The following is a 22363-nucleotide window of genomic DNA, read 5'->3' as shown; positions in this document are numbered from 1 at the left end:
CATCTAGAAGCCTGAGGAAGGCTGCTGGAGTTGCCTTTGTGTTGCTGCTTCTGTTTTTTTCTCTCCCATGGAAAAATCTTCCGTGGAGACCACGTTTCTGAATCCAGTTGTCTTAAAGCTTGGATCCAAATGACACATTGTTGGGCGTCCCTCCTTCCAGGAGCTGCTGCTCATGGCTTCAGGAAGGAGTCTTGTCATTGCCGCAGAAGCTGCTTTGGGCACCTCTTAGTGTGGTTTTATGGTAAATTAATGAGTTAGAGGCCTCAATTCTTCTATGAGACCTCCCATATACACATGCCATTTCCCTTGTAGTTTCTCTCACTAAATAGGAAGAGTGACTTATTTCAGCCAGTAGAGATGTGTGCTGATGTGACTACAAGCAGAAGCATTTGAGAGTTCATAACTGCTCTTGCACCTCTGCCAGGAGAATACAACTGGGTTAGCTAGGTGGAAGGATGTGAAAGATTCATAGAAGAGAGCTGAGTCATGCAGGTGACAGCAAAGTAACTCCCAGATGTGTGCACCACAGACAATAGCTGGTTAACTCTGAGACCTAGGAGTGTCCCCAGACAAGAACAGGAAAACGGCCCAGTATGGTCTAGACAACCAACATACAAGCTAAATAAATGCCTACTGTTGTATGCCACTGAATTTTGGAGTGCTTTGTTACACACTGGTATTACGGCAATGGGCACCAGATATAGTTACTTTCTTTTGCTGTTGAGAGATAGTATAATTCTGTGATTAAGGCACCAGACTCTAGAAGGGAAGAGATTGGGTTTATATCTTGCCTCTGCCACTCACTAACTGTAGAGAATCACTTAAATTCTCTATAACTCAGTTCCTTCATCTGTAAAATGGAAACAATAGTATCTACCAATAAGCTAATTACCTGAAGAGCTCAGAACTATCTCTGGCATATAGTACACACTATAAATGTGCTATTATCATTTGCTAGTATGTTGATTAGCATTGGTGAAAAGTCAGCCAAGTGGTTTAAGCCTGTGTGTCCCACAGTCTGTCCCTGTCCTCTTAATTAGGGAATGTTAATAGAGTTTTTCTAAGGAGTTTTGTTTTTTATTTCATGTGCTACTACTCCTTTCTTAGGGTGGGTAAGAAGTTTGTTAAGTTGGCCTCAGTGTCTTCTCTCTTCCTATGAGTCAATCTGTGTCATATCTGGAGATATTGAGACTTTTGCCATTTAAATGTCATTTTCCCTAGATTTCAGTGCTTATACAAATCTATCTATCTATCTATATATATATATATATATATATATATATATATATATATATATATATATATATATTCATATTCAATTTTGAGAGGTATATGGGAGATTATGGTCAAGTAGCCCTTTGACCCAGAGGTAAAACAATATAGTTTCAAATAACCAAATACAACCTTATTTGTCTTTCCTTATTTGGATTTTCCATGTATTTAGAATAACCTAGCAGATTAATATTCTTTGTCCCTTTACCCTATTTGGAGTCTATGTCAAAATATGTAATTTGACAGCTACTTGGAGAAGTTCCCTGACTTACAGACCATGTTAGTTCTTTGGCTCATGGGACTAAAGATTCTTGGAGCTGGAAAGCACTGTAGAGGTTACTCAGTCTTTCCAGTTACAGATGAGGGAACCAAAGATCAGACAAGTAACTTTTTTGTGGTTCCAGAGAAAACAAAAGAACCTGGGTAAGAATACAGAGCTCTCCCAAGTCCAGTGGATTCTTACTCTTTTAGCGTTTAATACTTGATATGCACTAGAAAAAATATATAGTGTAAGTTGGACACATAATAAAATAGATACCTAGATATATCACCAAATCTTTGACATCATCAATGACACAGAGACTTCTCATATATACAGCTCTAATCTTAGCCTACTGTATCTTGTTGCAACCCTAACCTGATACAATCCCTAAAGAGGTCAACATTTTTCTGAATTTTATATTTATCATTTCATTGAACATTGTATGTTTACCTAAATTATATATTTAAATAAAAATGGTATATCAGTCATGTTTTTTCACCACACGTTATATTGCAATACTTATCCACATTCTTGCACGTAGCTGAAGTTCATTTATTTTCATTGTTTAAATTGAGCTCTTTTTTTTGCTATAAGGTAAAATTGCTATGAATTATCTTGATCATGTCTAGTGAGACATGTATAAAGTTTATTTAGGGCAAGTGATAACAAGTGGAGTTTCTGGAACATAGGTTAATGTACACACTCAACTTTGTAAGATAACACCAAATTGTGTTTAAAGTGGTTTTTCTTTTCCATGCTTAGCAGCAGGGTTTTAGAATTCTTAACTACTCACAGGATCCATTCTTGGTGTAGTCTTTCAGCTAGTAAATATAGTACTAGTAGGTGTATTGTATTCTTAACTTGCACTTCTCTAATGACTAATAAGGTTGGCCATCTTTTCATGTTTCCTCTTTAATAAAATGCCTATTTATGTGTTTTTTTGCATTCTATTTTTCTTTTAGTTGACTTGTAGTTATTAATAAATTCTGGACACTAATCTTCTATCAGATACATATTAACAAATTTTCCCAGGTATTTATTGGCTTAACTTTTTATTTTATGGCATCTTTTAATGAATAAAAATTTTTGGTTTTAACATTGTCTTCAGTATGATTTTCACTACATCAAAGATGCATTTTATTGTATGTCAACCTAGAAAAAAGATTATCTCCAAATTATAGAGACTTATATGTGCAAATAACCTACTATCTTAGTCAATACTATATCTGAAATGAGAGACTGAATTTTTTTTTAAATCATAGAGATAAAAAATGGAAACTCCTAACACTTTGTTCTAAAAGAATTTGTTGCTCAGATACTGGGTGATGCTCAGATACTGGGTGATGATGAGAGAGCGTAGATGTAACTTAACAGAAATACCAAAAAAAAAAATTATTCATTCTCAGCTGTCAACTAATTTAGCTTTCTTGTAACCCTATTAATTATTTTTCGTCTTTCTGAATCTTGAATCTCTTCATCTTCACTGCTTCTGAACATATCTCAACATTTAAAACAAAACAAAAAATAAAGCCATGCTTTGATTTTTTTTCTTTTAAATTTTTACTGCCTTTACTCAATCTGTTTACATTCCTACACTGCAAAGCTACATGGGGGTTAACTTCATTGACTTCCTCCACTCTTCTCAAATCATCTCATTAAAGTCATCAATAACCTCCTAATTGAAAAATTCATTAGGCACTTTTCAGTCCTAACATTATTTGATGTCTCTGCAGCATTTGACACTCCTGTTCACTCCATTTTTTCTTGAATATATCTCTGCCCTAACCTCCCTTTTTTTGGGGTTATTTTCCTAGCTCTCAGAATTCCATCTCAAGTCTCTTTCATCAATTCTCCTCATGTGCACACCTCAAATGGTCATGTTTTCCAGGGTTCTACCATCAACTCCGTATTCTTTCCCTACTGTGCTGGGAGGAATGTCATATACTCCCAGGGTTTCAGCTATCTCTTGTATGTTGAAATATTCATTTATCATGTGAACCCCTTTCCTAAGTTCTAGACCTTACTTTCTACTAAGCTTTTCCAGTGGCTTCCACTACCACCTATACTTTGATGATTCACAGACCTAGAGTACCAGCCCAAAACACTCTCTTGAGCTCTAGACCCTTATTTCTTAATCCACACTTAACATCTCCTCCTAGAAATTTCTTAGGCACCTTATAGTCAAGATTTTCCAATCTGAACCATAATGTTCCCTCCCTCCACCTCCTGAAGGCTCCTCTCACAGTACTTCCTTCTCTGAAAATTAGACAACTATCTATACAGTTACTCAAGACAGAAAATGGAGAGTCATCCATGAGTCCTCCTTTCTTTTCTACACTCCATATTTAGCCAGACTGTAAATCTGATCAATTTAATATTCTTAATATGACTCAAAACTGTTCCTCTTCATATCTGCTGCTCTTTAATTCAGGCCCTCATCACTTCTTTCCAGCACAAGTCTCTTAGCTAGATTCCCAACTTTGGGTCTTGCTCTGGTCCAGAAGAGTCCATTTGCTTCACTTCCACTAATATATTTTTTTTCTAAAAAGTTAATTGATGTCCTTTTTCTAGAGGATAAAAATCCCAACTCCCTACTGTGAAATTTAAGATTCTGACGACCTGGGTCCTCTCTACCTTTCCAACCTCATCTCATAGCTGTCGCCTGCAAATATCCAATTGATGAATCATACATTTCTACTTCAGGTAAGGTTACCTACATGTGTCTCACTTTGTTATACCTCTGTGCCTATTAATATGCTTTTCCTTCTGCTACAATTATTCTTTCTTTCATTTCTTTGCCTAATGAATTTCTTTGAGGCATAATAAGTGTTCACAGGCACTGCGAAACCTCTTTATTTTTTCTAGGAAGCATTAGAAATTTTCTCCTCTGTGTTCACTTAGAGCCTTATTTTCCTGTTATAGCACATGACAGAGAACAATAATTACTTGTTTGCATGACAATGCTCACCATTAAACTGTGAGCTCCTCAAGGAAAGTTGCCAAGTTCTAGTTATCATTGTAGCCTCAGTACTTATAGTTACCAGTACACAGTGAGCACTTAATTAATGTTTCTGGAATAGGTTAACTCAATGTGCATGAATATTGTGGCATCACTTCCACAAAAGCTTCTGTCTCCCATGGCTCCATTAGCAGTTCTAGAACATATAGGCAGTGATAGTTCTGCTTTTCTGTAGGGTGATCAGTCTATATTTAGAATACTTGGTATGATGCTGCTCTTAGATTAAGGCAGATATAAACTGAAAAACATTAAGAGAACAATCAGGCACCAACATCATGTCAAAGAAGCAATGATTGAAGAAATGGAAATCATTTTGGTGAGGCATCACAAATCAAAAAGAATTTTAACAGTATCTACTGTAATAGAATTGAGAGCAAGCACTCTTATTCTAATAAAACACAAAGATGGAAGATCAAAGTTGACAGCAAAGAATTTGTTCTTTGCTGCTTCTCTCACTGAGAGGTTGAATCTAATTCTCCTCTCCCTGAAGGTGGTTTGCTTGACCAATAGCATGGGATTAAAAGGGTATGGCAAGATTTCCGAGACTATATCAGAGAAAAAAAAAAAAAAAGAATTCCAGCTCCTCCCTTGGTCTCTTGGAATGTCTCTTCTTGAAGTACCCACACTCCAAAGTCACTCACTCATTTTCATACTGTGAGAAGCCCAAGGCTCATAAAGAGGACACATGTTGGTGCTGTTAGTGCCAGCAAACTCCTAGCTAACAGGCAGCTTCAACTGCCAATGACTTCTGAACCATTTTGGATTCCCTGGTAGATAACTTAGATAATTGCAGCCACATGAAAAGCCTAAGCAAGAGCCAATCAGCCAGATTCTTTCTGAATTCCTGATCCACAAATTTCTGTGCAAAATAAAATGCATTTTAAAAAATAAATGATTACATTTGGGGCTTTTAACTATTAAAATAGGGTGGTTTGTTACCCAGAAACAGCTAAAGCAACCACTACAAATGTTGATTGATTGATTTGGTAACGATAAACCGTTGTGCCAAAAACTGACTTTTACCACTCAGATCTTCCTTCAAGAAAGGTTTTGCTGCCCAGTTACAAGGAATGTGATTATCTGGCACCCTCCAGCTGTTAGCTCCTTCAGGGTCGTCTACCTCATATCTGAGCTGTGAGCTTGCTCTTTTCAGATAAGGCCCCAGCCAATGGCTGAGTAGCCATTGCCATAAGGCAATGGTAGCCAACGCCACATTCTTAGGTGTCCCCAGTCAATGGCTAACCAAAATGGGGTGTGAAGGTCTATCTCAAGCTTGTCCAGCCAGCAGCCCATAGGCTGCATGTGGCTCAGGACGGCTTTGAATGTGGCCCAACACAAATTCATAGATTTTCTTAAAACATGAGATTTTGTTGTGATTTTTTTCAAAGCTCATCAGCTACTGTTAGTGTTAGTATATTTTATGTGTGGCCCAAGGAAATTGTTCTTCTCCCAGTATGACCCAGGGAAGCCAAAAGACTGGACACCCCTGGTCTAGCCATTTCTGTACAACTGAGGACTCCTTGAATGAGCAATCTTTGCCCTAGAACAACTCCCTTAGGCTCACAGAGACCTCATCTGTCTGCATCATGAGCAATGTCTCCACTTGCCCAGTACTGCTGCCTCTCTCTTCACATGTATATTCCCCAATAAACCTTTCATGTACCTATTCCATCTCAGTGTCTGCTTTGGAAAGAACACAAGACATACAACCATCTTGCATTATTTTTAGAAAATTATAATAGCAAAAAGCAACTTTGAAGACATGGTAGCAAAACAAGCCCATGAACACTTGTGTGGCTATTGGTCCCAGTTATTAATGGCTTAAGGTCATTGCTTGTTTTACCGTGTTCAAGTAAAGTATGGCAATGCCTTCATTATTGGCTACCTATACACTTAGCAAATAGCACTGCAAATAAAAGGAGGGAATGAGACTTACACAGAAAGCACCAGGATCCTGATTCTACATCTGCCTGAAGTGGCAGGGCACTCAATGGAATGACAAGCATTTAACAAAGATCCAGTTGGCCTTGTAAGACATTGGCTGATTTTCCTAAACCTTAATCCAACTTCAGTAATTTCCCAACTTTATTGGAAATCCTCGTCTGACACTGCTTGCTTAAAAATATGTGGGCTAAGAAGGGAGGTTGGATAACAATTTCAAGGCATTTATGAAGGAACCGTGAGATTGAATCTTTCGAAGAACATTCAAGTCACATTTTCATAGAAGCTGAAATTGTCTCTTTTCTACTTAGTTCAAAGACAGTAATTTTTTCATGTCATCCTAATAGATTAGAAGAATTGATATTGTTAAGATGACTGTGCTACCCAAAGAAATCCACAGATGCAATGAAATCCCAAATCAAAATGCCAATGATATTCTTCAGAGAAAGAGAAAAAAACAATTCTAAAATTTGTATGGAACCACAAAAGACCCTGAATAGCCAAGGCAGTACTTAGCAAAAATAACAAAGCTGGAGACATCACACTACCTGACTTCAAAATATACTGCAAAGCTATACTAAGCAAAACAGCATGGTATTGGTATAAAAACAGACATACAGACCAATGAAATGGAACAGAGAACCCATAAATAAATCCTCATATTCGGAGTAAACTGATTTTTCAACAAAGGTGCTGGGAATATACACTGGGAAAAGGACACCCTCTTCAATAAGTGATGCAGAAAAAAACTGGATCTCCATAGGCGGAAGAATAAAACTATACCCCTATTTCTCATCATTTACAAAAATCAACTTAAAATGAATTAGACTTAAATGTAAGACCTGAAACTATAAAACTACTAGGAGATAACTTAAGAGAAATGTTTTAGGACATTGGTCTAGGCAAAAATGTTATGGGTAAGTCTTCAAAAGCACAGGCAACAACAACAAATAATAGACAAATGGAACTATATCACACTCAAAAGCTTCTGCACAGCAAAGGAAACAACAGTGTGAAGGAAGAACCTGTAGAATGGGAGAAAATATTTGCAAGCTATTCATCTAACAAGGGGATATCCAGGATATACAAGGAGCTCAAATAACTCAACAATAAAAATCTGATTAAAAATGGACAAATGATCCGAATAGACATCTCTCAAAAGCCATACCAATGGCCAAGAGGTACATGAAAAAATGTTCAACATCCCTAGTTACCATGGAAATGCAAATCATAACCACGATGAATTATTTTCTCATCCCAGTTAGAATGCCTATTATGAAAAAATAACTGCTATCAAGGATGCAATGAAAAAGGAACTGTTACTGTTTTTTAGGAATCAAATCTTATTTTTTCAACTGTTATTTTAGATTTAGGGGCACATGTATAGGTTTGTTACCTGGATATATTGCATGATTCTGAGATTTGGGGTATGAATTATCCCATCACCCATTACTAGGCAGAGTACCCAACAGTCTTTCTACCCTTACCTCCCTCTCTCCCACCTCTAGTCCCCAAAAAGGGAACTCATACACTGCTGGTAGGAATGTAAATTAGTACAGCCATTGTAGAAAACAGTATGGAACTTTCTGAAAAAACTAAAAATAAAACTACCATGCAATCCAGCCATCCCACTACTGGGTATTCATCCAAAGGAAAGGAAGTATATGGAAGTGATACCTGCACCCCCACGTTTATTGCCACTCTAATCACAATACCAAAGATACAGAATTGCCTAAATGTCCACCAACAAATAAATGCATAAAGAAAATATGGTATATATGTACACACACACACACACACACACACACACTCAATGAAATTCAGCTATTTATTCAGCATGAGTAAGCCTTGAGGATATTATGTTAAGTCAGGCACAGAAAGAGAAACACTGCATGTGTAGGAGCTAAAAAAAAAAAAAGTGAGCTCATAGAAGGGGAAAATAGAACTGCGATTGTTAGAAGCTGGAAGGGTAAGAAGGAAAGGAGGATAAAGAGAGGTTGGTTAATGAATAGAAAGCTACAACTAGATGGCAGGAATGACTTCTGGTGTTCTGTATAAGTATGGCTAACAATAATCTTAATTTATTTTTATGTATTTAGGGAGTACAAGTGCAGTTTTGTGACACGAATATATTGCACAGAGGTGAAGTCTGGGCTTTTAGCCTACCCATCATCTGAATAGCAGACATTGCACCCAACAGGTAATTTTTCAACCCTCACTCTCCTCCTATTTTTCCGCCTTTTAGTGTCTCCAATGTCTATTAATCCACTCTCTACGTCCATGTGTACCCATTGATTAGCTCCCACTTGCAAGTGAGAACATGCAGTATTTGACTTTGTTTCTGAGTTATTTCACTTAGGATAATGGCCTCCAATTCCATCGAAGTATGTTGCTAAAAGACTTTCTTTCATTCTTTTTTATAGATGAGTAGTATTCCATTGTGTGCATATATATATATACACACACACACAATTCCATCATATATATATACCCTATATATATACCCATATATATATATACACCTCTATATATAGAGAGGTATATATACATCCTATATACATACCCTATATATATATAGGGTATGTATATAGGATGTATATATAGGGTGTATATATACCTCTCTCTATATAGGTATATATAGAGAGGTGTATATATATAGGTATATATATAGGGTATATATATAGGGCATATATATAGGGTATATATATGTGTGTATATGTATATATATGTGTGTATATGTATATATATACACACACGTATATAGGCTATATATATGTATGTATATGTATATATATACACACACACGTATATATAGGCTATATATATATACACATTTCTCTGATTTAAGTCTATTTGGAGAATAAGCATATATATATATATATATATATATAGGCTATATAGCCTGTGTGTGTGTGTATATATATATAGCATATATATATATATAGGCTTATTCTCCAAATAGCCTTAAATCAGAGAAATGTGTGTATATATATATGTGTGTGTATATATATATATACACACACACATATATAGCATATATATATATATATATATGCACACAATGGAATACTACTCATCTATAAAATGGAATACACAATGGAATATATATATAGCCTATATGTATATATATATATAGGCTATATACACACACATATATAGATATAGACTATATATATAGGCTATATATATATGTATATATATGATGGAATTTTGTGTGTGTGTGTGTGTATATATATATATGCACACAATGGAATACTACTCATCTATAAAATGGAATACACAATGGAATATATATATAGCCTATATGTATATATAGGCTTATTCTCCAAAGAGACTTAAATCAGAGAAATTTATAGATGTGTATCTGTGTTTAATGTGTCCTTAATTTTTGCTATACACACACACACACACACACGACCTTTCTTTATTCAATCAGTTGATGAACACTTAAGTTGATTCCATGACTGTGCTATTGTAAATAGTACTGTGATAAATATAACAGCGCAGGTATCTTTTTTTATGTGATGATTTATTTTCCTTAGGGTAGACACCCAGTAGTGAGATTGCTGGATCATTTGGTGGTTCTATTTTCAGTTCTATTGGGAAATCTCCATTGTGTTTTCCACAGAGGCTGTACTAATTTACATTCCCACCAACAGTGTATAAGTGTTCTCTTTTCTCCACATCCTAGCCAACATCTATTGTTTTTTGACTTTTTAATAATAGCCATTCTGACTGGTGTAAGATGGTATCTTGTTGTGGTTTTAATTTGCATTTCTCTGATGATTTGTGATGTTGAGCATTTTTCACACATTTAAAGATACACTTGTATGTTGTCTTTTGAAAAATACCTGTTCCTGTCCTTTACCCACATTTTAATGAGTTTGTTTTTCTTGAGTTTCTTGTAGATTCTGGATATTAACACTTTGTCAGATATATAGTTTGCAAACATTTTCTTCCCATTCTATAGGTTGTTTGCTTACTGATTATTTATTTTGCTATGCAGAAGGCTTGTAGTTTAATTAAGTCCTATTTGTCTGTTTTTGGTTTTGTTACATTTGCTTTTGAGGGTTAACAATAATACATATTTTCAAAAAGATAGAGGAGAGGATTTTGAATGTTCACATGCAAAGAAAAAAATGTTCAAAGTATTAGATTTGCTAATTATCCTGATTTGATCATTACACGTTGTATACATGTATCAAAATATCACTATAACCCATAGATATGTACAGTTATTACACGTTAACTAAAAAAGGAAAAAAAAGATGGTCATTTTTTCAAGTGTATTATGGTAACTATGAAGAAAATGTGTGTGTGTGTGTGTGTGTGTGAGTTTAGAGAGAGAGGGTAACAATTAGTCTATGATTTAAAAATAGGAATTATATATTCTACTGGCATTCTGTCCTTTGGTCCACATTTATAGAAATATTTGCCTTTTCTCTGATAGTTATTACTTTTCCTAGGGAAGAGAAGAATGCCAGGAGAAGGATGTGATTCCTCTGTTCAAATATTAGAAGAATTATGAGAAATTAGATTTGTTACAGCAAAAGTTAATATAACAGCCAGAGGGTAAAATTGGTCCAATAGGTATTTGGAAGTTAAACAGAAAAAAATTTGCATTGACTTTTTTTGGAATTGTTTAAAGATAGATGCTATAGTTTGCTTTGATAGGTAGTGTGTTTTCTATTGCTAGGGAAAACCAAGCACAACCCTGGCAATTACTTGATGGAGAGAATACTAGAAGGCATTCAAGTAAATCTAGAACAACAGGCTTTAAAGTCTCTCTACCAGAAATTCTATAAATACTGAAGAAACAGTAAGACAAATATGAAGGTATTATGAGGAACTCTCCCACTCTAAATATAAATATAATGTAACAGGAATTACATTACTATAATCAAATAGTTCTGGTTCCCATTTTGTCAGGTATAAAGCTCTGCTGACATCTTTAAAATTATTTTTTATAAAGCCAGCCAAGCATGGAATAACTTCATAGCTGCTTTAGCAAAGACTAATTCAGGAAATTACACTAATGAGAGGCTAATAAGTCACACTAAGATGAGCCTAGAAGCACACGTCTTTTTCAGAGGAAGCTGGTGAATACTGTGCCTGTAAGTGAGAGGTTTATGTTCTCATTTTCTAAGGAAAGGTTTTCAGAAATTTATCAGTAGGGGGCATTGCTGTTCTATCAGCAGAAGAGCTAGACCCAAGAAGTGCTCTCGGTAATTGAGCACTTAGAAATAATCAACAAGTCAAAGCAGATAAGAAACTATTTTTTTTCTTGGAAAAAATTCACATGTCATCTGTTCTAAATGAAACTTTAGAAAATGAAAGTACAGCATGTACATATTTGGTTTTTCCAAGATAAATGAAAGATGCTAGAGGTTTTAAAAAAATTTTGTTAAAGAGAGACTAATATCACAGCAGCTGCAGATTCAGCACTTCCAATCTCAGGAATTGAGAAGAAAGCTGAATTTGCATCATGGTGAACTAGCATCACTAATGCTTACAGCTCCCATCTAACCGTCATGAGAGTGAAATTAAACAGTTCTCCCTGTGTTCGAAACTTATTCAGTACAACAAATACTGGTCTGTTCTTCCCTCTCCCCTTCTACCCATATAGGCAAAGTCAAACAATCATGAAAGGAATCGGGGGAAAAAGTAAAATATGCAAATGTGGAATGCAGAGATGAGCTAAAGAGCTGCACTTGTTTACCTTAGACACACAAGACCCACAATTTTTCGTGGATAGAAAGATTGTTAAATACCATCAAAAATAAATGCAATTCTTTCCACATCTGCCATGATATAAATGCTAGATGTCAGGTATAATTATGTATGAATTATCATAGTTTATAGAAAAACTTGATATCCCAGCTTTTTAAAAAAATCCCTGTACTCAAGAATATGTTAGTTTTATAACTTAGAAATTAGAATCCTGAGACTTAATGAAATTCTGAATCTTAAGAAACAGCAAAAAGTAAGGATACATTTAAACACAGATACACATCAATAAATTTCTCTGATTTAAGTCTATTTGGAGAATAAGAAGGCAGACTAATTCTCACCCACTTTTAAGGTTCATTCAGATTTTATCTTCATTTATTTAACACAAATCAATGAAGTCACTTCTAAGTAATTGGCAGACAAAGGCTAGGTATTCTGGTCTAAATTTGCCTTGGCCTATGGGGCCATATTCTGAACTCCTGGAACAGGAATTTCTAGTTGAGATCTCTCTCTCTCTAATGCCTTAGATATATATCTCAACTTAAGCCCTTATAGCATTACGGTATAGAATTTTTGTTTGTTTTTTTTTTAAAAAAATACACTTGGAGATTGGAGAGAAGGTAAAACCCTAAGGACATGATACGAACCAAGTCAATAAAAGGGAGGGCTATTGGCTCTGCATTTTTAATAAATTATAAATTTGTAAATTGGGAGAGAGAAAAGGTGGGAAGCCATTGAGATAGTTCTCTGGAGGTGAAGTAGCCATTAAAACTCTCCACATGATGAGAAAACTTTTTAGAACTAAAATGTCTAAATATGAAGTTATTTGCAACATTTCAAGGTAAACTCACCCTCTTCTCCTTATACTTTCTACAAACAACTGCCTTGTGAGTGGGTATGTGTATGTTACAAACAGTAGGGGGGAGAAAACAACACCTTGGCTCCATGTTGATGACACGTGGAAAAGGATAAGAACTTGAATGACAGAGAAGTCACACAAACTAAGCTGAATATGCAGAATCAGGACCATGAACCTAGAGGAGACCATGTAAATGTAAATCCTTCTCTCATTCCTTGCCTCTCACCACCTTCTCCCTACCCCAAGAATTCACAGAAATCTTGGGTAGTACTCTGAACCTCTGCAAGTACAGAATGGAGAACTGAGTCAGTATTATAATGATATTAAAGGGTCAAGTAGCCTTAGCTGACTTTGGAATTACATGGTGGCAAAGCCCAAAAATTATTTTCAAACCATGTTTAAAGGGTAATTTTGTCTTCCTCATACCCTCCAATGCAAAGTTGTTCTGGCCACTTTCTGAATAACTGAGGTCCTGAGATTCTGGTCTCCACTTCTGTCTTAGATAATTTTGTGCAGCTGTATCACAATACCTGAGACTTATAATGGACAGTCCTGGAGGGTGAGAAGTCCAATATCAAGGAGCTGGGATCTGGTAAGGACCTTCTTGCTAAAACATTACATGTCAGAAGGTGAGAGAAAGAGCAATAGCAAGAGAGGGCCAAGTTTGTCTTTATATAATGCACCAATCCCACCCATGAAGGTGGAGCCTTCATGGCCTAATCATCTCAAAAGTCCTACGTCTTAATACTGTTACAATGGCAATTAAATTTCACTATGAATTTTGAAGGGGACAAACATTAAAGCCATGACAACTCCCATCCCCGTTGGGTCATTCTGGTAGGGCCCAAGGCACAGGGTACCATCTCTACCACCATCAACCCTTCTGATGAGCTCACTTTCATTTTAAGATTGTGATTCAAACTTTCTCTTTTTGTAAACATTATTCCATTTTCCCCAGTTACAAAATAATTTTTTAATCATTACACTTTCAGAAGTAAATGAAGAATGGCCCTAAAATCACACACCTACCTCCAGTTTGGCATGTCTATGTTTAGAGAAGCTTGTTATGGTAGTAAACAGAATTAAATGCAGCCATCTGTTGGTAAATGAAATATATGTTGAGTAGCAGTTACATTTCAGTTCAGAAAAAGATTCTGGGCTTAATCTAAATGTCCTTTGAAAGCTAACTCAAGTCTATTTGGAAAGATTAGTCCTATGTATGAGACGTATATTCCAACACAGGTTTGGAATCTGAAGTGCTCAGATGCTGACCTGAATGGGGAAGTTTCGGTGATTGGATCAGGTAAGAAAGTTGTTCAGTGTAGGATCAGACACATATTTATTTTAGCTGGAGTCAGATAAGCCAAAAGAAAGTTAATAAGATAAAGGGAAGTCTTTAGGTACCTATGAACAACCGGACATTTTCTTTAAAAGCCCCTCGTAATGTTGAGTGCCTTTATACCCATTTTACTGATTGAGGAAACTGAGGTTCACAGAGAAAAAATAACTTGCCCAAGACCTCATAGCTAGGGCAAGGTAGTGATGGGGTTGAAATGCTGGTATAATTCTAATCTCTCCATGAAAACACAGATGTAGCTCAGCAGGCAGGCAACTAGGGATGTGATTATAGGCCCAAGGCTATTGTGATATGTGAATCAGTGCTGAGCAGTACAAAAAGCAGATTTGTAATCAGAAGGTCCAGGCTCTGCTACTCATTAGACCTATGACCTTGGACAAATTGCTTGTTACTCTTTAACCCCAATTTCTTCATTATTTTTTTTCTCTTTTTAAGAAAAAAAAAAAAGAGGAGGAAGAGGATACAATTATCTACTTAACCTGAAAAAAGCTCCCCAAACAGAACAATTTAGGAGCAATAACATGTAGCCTTTTTATGTCATGATGCCCAGTTGCCCAGTTGTCCCAGTGACACTAGCACCACAGTGAGAACAGACACTCCAAGGCCACTGGTCTACTTGAACCAGTTTTTGCAGAACCAGGAGAGCAGATGAGATATATTCCAGAATTTCTCAGTGAGGCTCAAAGACCTGCAAAGAATGCTTTTGGATAATCAGTTGTTTACTTTCGAAGACATTAAAAAAATAAAACGGCACCAGAAAAATTGGCCTCCCACAAATCAGTTCAACTTCCTGTCACTAACTGTACTCAAATATTTTGTTCATTCACTTGTGGCTGCACTTAGGCCTTTTTCCACGGCAATATGCTTCTGCAAGCATAAAAGTGCTGAAATGTGTGTTTGTATGTGATTTTAAAATTTACCTTTGAAAGTGTAATGCTTTGAAAATTACATTTAACCAGGCCACATAATTTGATGATCAAGAATAGGGAGTTTGAAGTATAAGATAGAAAAAGTAAAAATATGTAAGGAAGATAATGAGAGAAATTCAGAATATTTGTGTCAATATGGATTAGCATAAACTTGGTTTTCTCTCTGATGCTGCATACAGCAACAGGAAGGAAAATCGACTACTTTAAAGCAAGTGAATCAACAATGAGCAAAGTTCACTAAAATAAAATAAAGTATACTTTGATGTTTCTCTAATATATGGGTTTTATTATTGTGGTGACACAAATGAATCTTTGTCAAGGGTGAGAATTCCCTGGGTAGTAAACTCAAGACATTTTGACTTTTGTAGTAACATTTTCAAAGCCATTAAACAAATTCGAAAGAAAAAGGTCATCAGATTTGTTTTGCAATTGAAAAGAGCCTTGGTTAGCCCCAATCAATAGGATAATCACATAAGACATTTTAAAAAACAATGTGGAATCTTCCTCCATTTTCAAAAGTACCTGAGAAAATTAAACTCTTGCAATAGGAGAATTTGTGCTAAATCTCTGCTTGATGTATATGGCTTAACCTGCTTGGGGGTAGAAAGAAACCAAAACTAAAAAAAAAAAAAACAAACGATCTCATTTATAGCCAGGAGACTTCAGGCCACAGATGGTTCCCACTGCTCTCTTACAAGTTTTTTTGTTTTTTTTTTAATTGGGGCACCATTTTCTGTTTCTTTTTTCCCTTCCCGCAATAGTCATGACAGTGAAAGGACTGGGCATGGTGTAGGGGTTGTAGGAAGGGATACAGTGAAAGTTTTCCTGAAGAAAAACTCTGGCCTTGGAGCTGGACAGTTCAAACCCCTCTTCTGCTGCTAAATGGCTGTGTAAGCTTGGACAATTCACTTAACCTCATCAAGTCATTATTAATAGGGAAAGTAATTCCTAATATGACAGAGGACAAATATCAATGCATGAGGAATAACAACCTCCTGCCAAAGAAAATTCTGGCCAGACAGCTAGATTCCTTCCTTTTTATTCAATAGATCCAGAATTAAACACTACAAGGCAGAGAGTACAGCAGAATTCACTGGAAAAAAAATAAATAAATTTTAAAAACCTGCAAATTCAGAGCAGAGAATGACTAGTTCAAAAAAAAAAAAACTTTAATAATGTCTAAAAGTCTGATGTTTTAATTCTTTTTTATTTTGAAACTAGCCTTTGTGTTTTGGTGGTGTTGATAAAATAGCACCCACTTTAGCCCACGATGGGTTTTGAATCAGTTGAGAGAGGTGTGAGAGAGATCAAAATAGTCCCTCATTACTTCTAAAGCCTGGGTTAGAGACTTAGGTGGACCTCCTAATACTGAACCACAAAATCAGGTAGATGTGCCTACTCAGTCATAGATAGTGCTAGAAAACCACAGTCCTTTTCCACACAGAAGGAACAGACTAGAACACATATTTCCTGTGGTAGCTGGCTCCCAAGGGGAAGGAGAAAGGAAGATGCTGAGCTATGCATACCTAGTTTTTCTTGCAAACTTGGCAATCGTGTACTTTATTGCATCCCAGGGGAAGAACAACTGAAGGTGTGGACAGAGGCCAGGGTTTATGCCCTTACGGGTGTCTTTCCATATGAAAGGAAATATCAACAATCAAAAATGTGCTTCTGTGAGCATCAGTCATCTCAATTCATCCTTGTTCAGTGGAATGAATTGGATTTACAATAATTTATTGTAATTAATAGAACTCTGCATCGATATCCTTAATGTTTAAACAATACATCTCAGCATCCTGATGAATACATCCTGGTTTTATTCTGGAATGGTTTGAAATGAGATATGATATGTCTGGATTTTCCTTTTCTTTATTAAACCTTTTAATGCATTTAATTTCCAGAGATGACTGGATTGGTTCCAGGAGAGGGAGGGGAGAAGCCTGTATACATCTGTAATGATCTCTGACAGTGTGACATGGAGAACTGATTTTTACAGCAGTAGTCAAAATTACAGTAATTAAGAGAAAATACCCACATCTTTATAAACAGAGTGTTAACTGATTCAAAAAGAACTTAATGAGAACTTACAAGAGGAAGTGCACGTTTGCCACTGAGTATTAAACATTAATTAAAGTCAGAAGGCAATAGTCAAATTGCCTCTCCACTTCAGTCACTTGGCAAGGCACAGAAATTGGAGAGGCTTTAGAATCTGCTGACTTTGCTGGCTCTGACCCTTCAAATGGGTTCTGTAAATTTATGGTCAGTTTTGCTGCTGAATTTTACTTCCTATTAAAGATCTTGTTGTAGAAACTCAAAGATGAAAGTTTTCAAATGCACACAGCATTTTAGAATTGGACACCTTATTTTAAAAGAGTATTTTAAATGCCCTTTTTTATTATAAAGATAAATTTAAAAAAATTTATCTGTGAAATACAGCATGAAATCATGAAATAAAATATGCCTAGAAAATATTAGAAGGAAATACATCAAATTATTAGAAATGGATTCCTATGAATGATTAAACATTTGATGAGTTTTTCTTTTTTGCATTTTATATGTATTGGTTTTATAAATGGAAAAAAATAAAGTGTGAATTTCTCAAAGTTTGTATATTCTCATGGAATAGGTAATCAGGGCCCCAAAATTGGCTACAGGGTACACATGAGAACTAGCTTTTGTTTCTGTTTCTGAGATCTTGGGAATGTTGCAAATTTAATAAGATGCAAAATGATAAACACAGCTAATCCTTGAATACCACACTGCACTGTTTTTCTTTTTACTGAATGACTGCAGATACACTTTGCCATTTCAATATACAATTACACTTGTGAATTAATGTATCATTGTGGCTCTGATCCAACATCAAACCCTTGATCTGATAACAAGCAAGACAAACTTCCAGAAGCAGACCTAACAACTTTTTTATTCTGAGTTTAGAACTGACCAATTTGAACAAGGCAGGTCATAGGAATGGTCAGATGAATCTCCTTGGGGGCTCCAACCCATGAAACACTTTATATTAACTCCTAGGCAAATAAGACAGTGACTTGAGGGTGGGTGGGAGGGGGGAATCTTTCCTTGTCTTATCCATTCAACTCACTTATTTTGTATTTTTCTCCTGCGAGTTTCTATTAACTTCCTATTGGTCTTCTCTAGTCAATCTACTCTCCCAAAAATTCGGCTGCTACTTTGTCCAGTTGCCTTCAACTTCTGCACAAAATTCACTATTTAACTGTTTTAGATTATGACTCCCCCTTTCCTGTCTAGCGTTTATGGTGTACTCAATTGGTTCTGCTTTTAAATAATCTCATTTCCCTAATACGTCACATCCCCAATAGTTCCACTGGAATTTACTATCAACCTCTGTCCAGTTTTTTTCTTTTGTTTAAATTTATTAAGTTATTTACCTTTTCTACTTCTTTACATTTTACCCTCTATACTTAATTCCTTCTTGTCTGTTTTATATACTTATTCTTTGACAATGTCTTTAAAAATTTTTTACACCGCGCTTTTAAGTGTGATATATTCTGACCAACCCTCTAGTTGGTGAGGCAGGTATCACATCCATTAACAGGTGAAGGAATTAAAGAAACTAGGATCCAAATAAAGGATGTGGACCTCACGCTTTGCTTTTAAAATCCAGTGTTTGTTCCACTGCATCCCTACTGTGTACGAGGAGCATTTGAACCACAGCTTTGGTCAGTGGAGGGAGCTTATATTAGGCCTGGAAGGAGACACCTGCCGTGGGCATGTGGGTGAGGGGAGTTTGCAACATTATTTTTCTCACCTGCTCTCCCTAAACTTCTTGATGGAGTGTGTGCATGTGTGTGTGCTCCTGACAGCAATAACAAAGTATCTCAAACATCCTAGGCAGTCATCTTGAATTTGTCAGATTGATCTGAGTTAAAAGGAAAGCCGGCTGAAAGCAGTGGTTTGTGTCTGTAATCCCAGCACTTTGGGAGGCCAAGGTGGGTGGATCTCCTGAAGCCAGGAGTTCTAGACCAGCCTGGCCAATATGGTGAAACCCCATCTCTGCTAAAAATGTAAATAATTAGCCGGGTGTGATGGCACATGCCTGTAATCCCAGCTACTTTGGGAGGCTGAGACAGGAGAATCGCTTGAACCCAGGAGGTGGAGGTTGCAGTGAGCTGAGATCACACCACTGCACTCCAGCCTGGGCAAAAGAGTGAGACTCCATCACAAAAAACAAAAAACACAGGAACAAAATTGAAAAACTAGAAACTTCACATCTTCTGAATAACTGTGGGTTCTCCTGTTTTCATTATGTCAAATGAAAAATGAACAGATTTGGGGGTTGTTTAACCTCAAAATGAAATTATGTATAGCCTGAGCTGCTGGCCTACAATTCACTTGGAAACTCTTTTGAAGGAAAATGTTAAAGACAGGCAACATACAGAATGGGAGAAACTTTTTGCAATCTATTAATCTAATGTCCAGAATCTACTAGGAACTTAAATGGATTTACAAGAAAAAAACCCCATTAAAAAGTGGGCAAAAGGCATGAACAGACACTTTTCAAAAGAAGACATTCATGCAGCCAACAACCAACCTATGAAAAAACGTTCAACATCACTCATCATTAGAAATGCAAATCAAAACCACAATGAGATACTATCTCATGTCAGTCAGAATGGCGATTATTAAAAAGTCCAGAAACAACAGATGCTGGCAAAGTTGCAGAGAAAAAGGAACACTTTTACATTTTTTTATTTTTTAAAGTGAATGTATGTATGGCATTGAAGCCACCATCACATTGGGCCACAGGAAATGTATTCCCAGTCGTGATTATTGGGGCTCCCCTACGGGATCCTAGTGCATCAAAGAGGCCCTCAAGGTGCTGATCTATACTGGTTAGCTCTGCAGCCCTTTGTGTGCAGCCCACAAAGTCCCTTCAAGTTCCCATGGCTCTGCTGCTTCTGTGTCACAATTAGGGCACAGGCACCTTTGCTGGGGCTTGGAGTTGCAGGGTCCAAGGTTCAGCCTCTTTTGGTGCCCCCATGTGGTCATCACCTTTCAGGTTCCGCTACCTCACAGAAGATCTGCCACCCAACAGGACATATGTCTCCATTAATAGAAAGACCTAATCATTTTGTTCCTCTTTTCTAGTTTTGAGGAATATGCTCCTTCCTTCTCCCTTCTGGCCCTCAAGGACATGCCTCTTCTCTTCCTGCCCCTTCAGGTATACCAGTATAACAACTTAAAAAAATATAAGCTTTGATAAAACACAAGAGCTGTGTCAAATTTATATGTTGAAATCCCAGCCTCCAAGGGATGGTATTAAGAGATGGGATCTTTGGGAGGTGATTAGGTCTTGAGGTTGAAGCCCTCATAAATGGGATTAGTTTCTTTATAAAAGAGACCCAGCAAGCTCTCTCACTCCTTTCTGCCACATAAGAACACAAGGAGAAGACAGTCATCTATGAACTAGGAAGAGGGCCCTCACCAGACACTGAATCTATCAATGCCTTGATCTTGGACTTCCCAGCTTCCAGAACTATGAGAAACACACTTCTTTTGTTTATGAGCCACCCAGTGTATGGTGGTTTGTTATAGCAGCACAAACAGCCTATGACAACAAGAACAATCAGTGACTTTCAGTAGCTTCAGCTGTTTTCCCTGGCATATATCTCTGTAATGACTAAGGCACACTCAAGCCCTGGCTACTTGCTTGGTATTGAAATGGAATGGGATGAGTGAGGAGGGGGGAGGGGAATCAACACACATACATGTGTGTGCACAAATTAATATCTCAAAATCTTTTTCTGCCTCCTTGTAATAAGCAAAGGGATTCCCAGGAAAATCACCTTTGGGAAAAGCTACCATGACACTTGTTCATAGTGCAAGCAGCTAAACCATCATGTCAGGAGGGTAAGCTCAGGAAATTAGATTGAAAAGTGATGAAAATAAGCCATGGGCTCTTTGGTTCTGTAGAAAGAACATTAAATTGGGAGTCAGGAGACATGAGGTCAGACCTCAGTTTTCTCACTTACTTACTGTACGATCTACGAAAAATGACTTTAATCTCTCTGGGCCTCAGTTTCTCCAGATGCAAAATAAGGGATATTGATGGGTTGATCCTAAACATCCTCCAAGCCTCAATATTGACAACTGGTTTGGTAAAATAGGAAAGGATCTATCATTTTTACAAAGCATCTTAATGATCCACCAGATCGCTGTCTCTAGTATCTGACACATTTAAATTATATTTCTTGGTTACATAGGGGGTGGGGGTGGTGGTGGGGTGGGGGGCGGGGGGATAATGCTAACTGAGTGTATGAAGCCTCCAAGAGTGAACACAATGTGTAAGCATGGGTGTGTGACATTTCAAAACCAACTCATTCTGACTGCTTTGGGTCCTTCTTTCTTTGTTCATTTGGAGTTATTTTCACTGCATGCTCCCGCTTCGTGTTCAGCTGCACAGGAAGTTTTTGCAATTGGGTTAAGAAATTCTGGGAAACAGGAGTTTATGGGTAAATCCTTGTATGGCAGTGGACCAGCTCTTGCTTTGGGTGAGCTATGTGGAATTGGAATGAGCCAGTCAGCCCTGCACAGAGAGGTGAGGCATGGCTCTCGTTAAATCCATCTGCGGTGCCTGCTATTTTAGGGAAGCCACAGTGTGAGCAGTGGCAATATTTCACTCCACAAATGGGCCATAAGAAACATTAAAGATGTCATGTATTCTAAAGAAATTGACTTAATGATCCTACTCACTTAAGGAGGAATTGCTGGCAAAATTCATTCCTTAAATGAGTCCAAATGACAGATTCCTGCACAAACACAAATTCATGGTAACATGCATGAATTAACAAACATGCTAACATGGTAAGTCCTCAGATCTTGGAAACTGTGACTTTCAGCAAAATGACGTACAACAAAGCCAATTTTACCATAGGCTAATTAATATAAACTGGAGTTAAGTTCCTATGGCACATTTCTGGCTATAAAAGTATCACCGAAGTTCCAAAGACAGATA

General features: G+C 36.8%; 1 protein-coding gene and 1 long non-coding RNA gene across 4 annotated transcripts in view; one reads left to right on the top strand and one right to left on the bottom strand.

Annotated features, from left to right (window-relative positions):
• The window catches only part of PLPPR1 (phospholipid phosphatase related 1), a 296409-nt gene that overhangs the window by 77771 nt on the left and 196275 nt on the right, over positions 1–22363 (bottom strand). The gene's annotated exons all lie outside the window — the stretch shown is intronic.
• Positions 4106–20556, top strand: LOC105376182 (uncharacterized). 2 transcript variants are annotated; one of them, XR_930182.3, is made up of 4 exons: positions 4125–4237; positions 8594–8694; positions 13586–13675; positions 20497–20556. It is a non-coding gene; the product is annotated as an uncharacterized LOC105376182 (long non-coding RNA). The 2 variants fall into 2 exon arrangements; XR_001746858.2 differs by lacking the exon at positions 20497–20556 and having other exon boundaries at positions 4106–4237; positions 13586–17581.

The sequence above is a fragment of the Homo sapiens genome, chromosome 9, assembly GCF_000001405.40.
Source record: "Homo sapiens chromosome 9, GRCh38.p14 Primary Assembly".
NCBI lineage: Eukaryota > Metazoa > Chordata > Mammalia > Primates > Hominidae > Homo > Homo sapiens.
The sequence above is the reverse complement of the archived record's forward strand: the minus strand, read 5'-3'. Positions and strand labels throughout refer to the sequence as shown.